At 42.7% G+C, this 1,558-nt stretch overlaps 1 annotated feature.

The window, feature by feature from the left end:
* Nucleotides 1,249-1,298: an enhancer, noted in NCBI's record as "active region_27528". NCBI's record gives its function as "activates an Ori minimal core promoter by ATAC-STARR-seq in GM12878 lymphoblastoid cells {active_cell/tissue: GM12878}" and the evidence as "EXISTENCE:reporter gene assay evidence [ECO:0000049][PMID:35858748]".

The following is a 1,558-nucleotide window of genomic DNA, read 5'->3' on the forward strand; positions in this document are numbered from 1 at the left end:
CATGAAGAGTCCCAAGGAAGAGCCTACATGGCAAGGATCTAAACACTCCAGACAACAACCATGTGCATGACCTTAGAAATGAATCCTTCAGCTCCTGTCCAGCCTTCAGATGTGGATTAGTCCATTCTCACACTGCTATAAAGAATTACCTAAGACTGCGTAATTTTTGAAGAAAAGAGCTCGAGCTGACTCACAATTCTGCAGGCTGTACATTCCATGCATACTCCTGCATGCCTGGGAGCCTTCAGGAAATTTGCAATCATTATGGAAGGGGAAGGGGAAGCAAGCACATTTTACCATGGTGGAGCAGGAGACAGAGAGGGAAGAGGGAAGTGCTACAGCTTTTTAAACAATCTTGTGAGATCTTGTGAGAACTCATTCACTATCATGAGAACAGCAAGGGGGAATTCTGCCCACATGATCCAAGCACTTGCCACCAGGCGCATCATTCAACACTGGGAATTACAATTCAACATGAAATTTGGGTGGGGACATAGAGCCAAACTATGTCAAGATGACTGCAGCCTTGGCCAACATCTTGACTGCAATTTTATGAGAAGCCCTGAGCCAGAACTATCATTAAGCCACTTCTTGATTCTTGATTCTCAGAAACTGGTGAAAGATAATGTTTTTTCATTTTAAGCTCCTACATCTTGGGGTAATTTGCTATACAGGAATAGGTAAATAATGCACTTGTTATATTCACATATATAAATATTAGCTAATCTCCTTTCTTTTCATTACAATTTTATATTATGAGTCCTGTGGTGGTTTACTTAATAATTTGGACTCTTGGGTACAGAATAATCAGATGAGATTGTGCCTGAGCAAGAGATGAATAACATGATTGGTGGATCTTTGTATCTCAGCTTGTTTTTAAGAGGGGGTAAGACCATCTTCACTTGTACAAGGCTTAATTGCATCATACTAGGTGGAAGCATAAAGAGGGTGTTATTGCTGTCTGGAAGCTTAAATGTGGGTAAAGGCAGTGTTTGAATATTGACTAGCCAAATGGTTGGGCTGGGCTGGTTATTTTTCTGTTTGGTCTTAGCTCCCACACATTTCTATTCTTTGATCAATGCTGCTGGGCTTGGGAATTGAAAACTACATTTCCCAGATGCCTTTGCCAGCTGGCTTCCTGTTTGTTCTGCCAATGGGAGGCATTGGAGGAGACCAGAAAATAGAACCTGTGTGGTTCTTGCTCTGACAGTAGTGACAGTTGCCGGCAATGAAGGCAGTGCAAGAAGGGGTGGGCTGCTGTGAGTCCAGCAGCCTAGGAAGTGCACCACCTCTCTGGTGACTCTACTACCTTGGTGACCACTCTTTGATTCCAACGTTGTCAGAAAGAATAGCTTCTCAGCATTTCCAGTGCTGGCAGCTGCAGAGCTACCCACAGCACAAAAATCAAGTGCAACACATAGGTTCCAGTTAGGGGTACTAGCTGCTTTCTGACCTTTTACTCTCATTTCTCTCCCTTTTTAAAAAAATCCCTCTAGCATCCCCTACTTCTCCTTTTTGTTCTTCAGCCTTCCTAATCACTTTATAAGTCATTCACTAT

Source organism: Homo sapiens, chromosome 8, assembly GCF_000001405.40.
Source record: "Homo sapiens chromosome 8, GRCh38.p14 Primary Assembly".
NCBI lineage: Eukaryota > Metazoa > Chordata > Mammalia > Primates > Hominidae > Homo > Homo sapiens.